Raw genomic sequence first — 2,427 nt, 5'->3', positions numbered from 1 at the left:
TTGCACATTAGTGAGAATAGCTTCCATATGGGGCTTCCCAACCTTTTTCCCTTGGATTGCCCTGCCAGATGTTACTGTGCCTCTAAGCCACGGCTGCCCTAAGGGCTAAGGAGGTCAGTATCTTGTGGCATAAATCACAACCCATGTCCCCATTTAATGCAGACCTGCTGGGGAGCCCTGCCCCTCCCAGGACATTGGTCTTCAAATTAGGGTAAATGCACTGAACCAACGCCCCCCTACCAACATACACTCACATGCATGCACTCAAAAACACACATGAGAGCACCTACCTATACATGTGCATGCACACACAAACAGAGGCTTTTTCAGTATGAATGGTTGTTAAAGGAATCGGTTTTCAGATCCTAATATTGACAGCCTGAGAGCCACATGCAAGTTCCCACTTCCTTATTCGCCATCTTTTTCTCCCATACTTATATTAGAAAATTATTTGTCATTTACTGAAATTTTAATTTAACTGGGCATCATGTACATTTGTATGTGTGTGTGAGTTTGTTAAATCTGGCAAAGCTAGTGGAATTAGAAATGGTCTTTTGACCCATGAAGGAATGATCTGAATTCAGATATATTGTAGAGTGGGTTGGCAGGACAATTTTTGTTTAATGATCTCTTCTATTACTTCTCCTGATTGTTAAAGTACACATCACTCCTGAGTGGGGAGTCCTGTGAGAGCAAAACAGGTAAGAAATACAGAGGGTGTTGGTGTTGTATTTCACTGGGACAGTGAACTCATGACAAAGTTTTGGTATTTACCCATGTAAGAATATTCAGGAGTTGCAAAAGGCAATCTGGGAAACACCAGTGTGTTGAGAAGCACAGCCCGGATTTCTCATTCTGAGAAAGGAGAAAGACTTTGGTGACTGCTTCTATTTACTGGGCTCACCTGCATTATTTGCAAGTTTGAGAAGGGAGGAGGTAAGAACGTCCATGTTTGTCTCCTGTAGATCAATATTACACTTTTAAGTAAAGTAAACTTAGGTTAAAAATAAATTAGTGTTTTATATTTTCTTAAACATTTATTCAGGCTGAGAAAGATTTCCATTCCCTTTGACAAAATTATTGGATACTATAAATCTATATACACTTTTTATTTGGACTCAATGTCCCTGCTAACTGTTATCCATCAACCAATTCTTCACTCATTTGTTCATTCTTATCATGTACTTATTAAATTTACATAACAGGTATATGTCATGGATTTTACTGTAAAAAATACACTTCATCATTAATATACTGTTGGTAAGCCTTGTACTACTGGTAGCCTCCTTCTGTTTATTTTGCTATGAATTTACGGTGAACCCGGTTTCATTTTAGCAGTAAACAATGTTCATCTCTGGATATATAAACTAAATGAATGAAAAATTCTCATTAATTAAAAGATGCATTCTTGATAAAATTTTACATTTAATAATTACTTATGAAACTTTGTAATACATTTAGCTTTTGATCAACAGTAATTTAGTAGTAATTAAAGAGGAATTGCTAATATTTAAATTACCACTTAAAGTGGTAATAATTTTTTAAATCAAGAAAAATGTTTTAATCCTCACCATCTTAAAGCTATAAGAAAAATACTTTTTCAGTTTTTCGTTATATACACATTTCTGTAACAATATGTTACAGTGGTCAATAAAAGATATTCAAGCATAAAAATGTTACTATAAACTTCAGTAATAAAGTGGAATGGAAATACAAGTCAAAACAAAAAAGGAAACAAGGTAAATTTTTCCAAATGTTAAAGAAAAACTGCTTGTGTATTTTAAAAAAAAATAGATGGTAATGGTTATCTGATACCACTTTTGAAAGAATGGCATCACAGTTTTATTTTGTAAATGTCAGTATTTATAACAATTTCAAAATTATATATTTTGCAAGTATTTAAATTTATTATTAAAAATTACATCTCAATTTAAACATTTTCAAGTGACTGCGTAATTTTCCAAAATTATTTTATGGAGTACATGTGTAAAAAGCTTAGATGCCCAACAGTATGCTGAAAGTGGAGTTGTTATGTAGGAGGGTGTGTATATCCTTACCTAGATTTTTTGCCAAATTTTAAGTGGTTGCCTTACTTTGCACTCCCACAACAGTATATGGGAATTCTCTTATTTCCGTATTTTCTCAAACATTTTGTATTGTCAACTTTTAGGTTTTTGCGTGTCCAAAGAGTGTAAAATGCTATCGCTTTGTGTTTTTAAGTTTGCACTCCCCTGATTGCTAGTGAGTTCCTCTTCTGTGAACTGCCTGCTCATATCTTCACCCATTTTTCAATTGATTAATGTACATATTTGTAATGTAAGGAACTAGTTTTTATAGGATGTTGGCCTTTGCAGCTTATTTTGGGGAAAACACCTTTAAATTTCTTTTACTCTTCTAATTCTCAATCTAGTCCTTAGCCAAAAATAT

General features: G+C 33.9%; 1 annotated feature.

Moving 5' to 3' along the window:
* Positions 265-344: an enhancer, noted in NCBI's record as "active region_3755". NCBI's record gives its function as "activates an Ori minimal core promoter by ATAC-STARR-seq in GM12878 lymphoblastoid cells {active_cell/tissue: GM12878}" and the evidence as "EXISTENCE:reporter gene assay evidence [ECO:0000049][PMID:35858748]".

The sequence above is a fragment of the Homo sapiens genome, chromosome 10, assembly GCF_000001405.40.
Source record: "Homo sapiens chromosome 10, GRCh38.p14 Primary Assembly".
Classification (NCBI taxonomy): Eukaryota; Metazoa; Chordata; class Mammalia; order Primates; family Hominidae; genus Homo; species Homo sapiens.
This window is presented reverse-complemented; position numbering and strand designations above follow the sequence as displayed.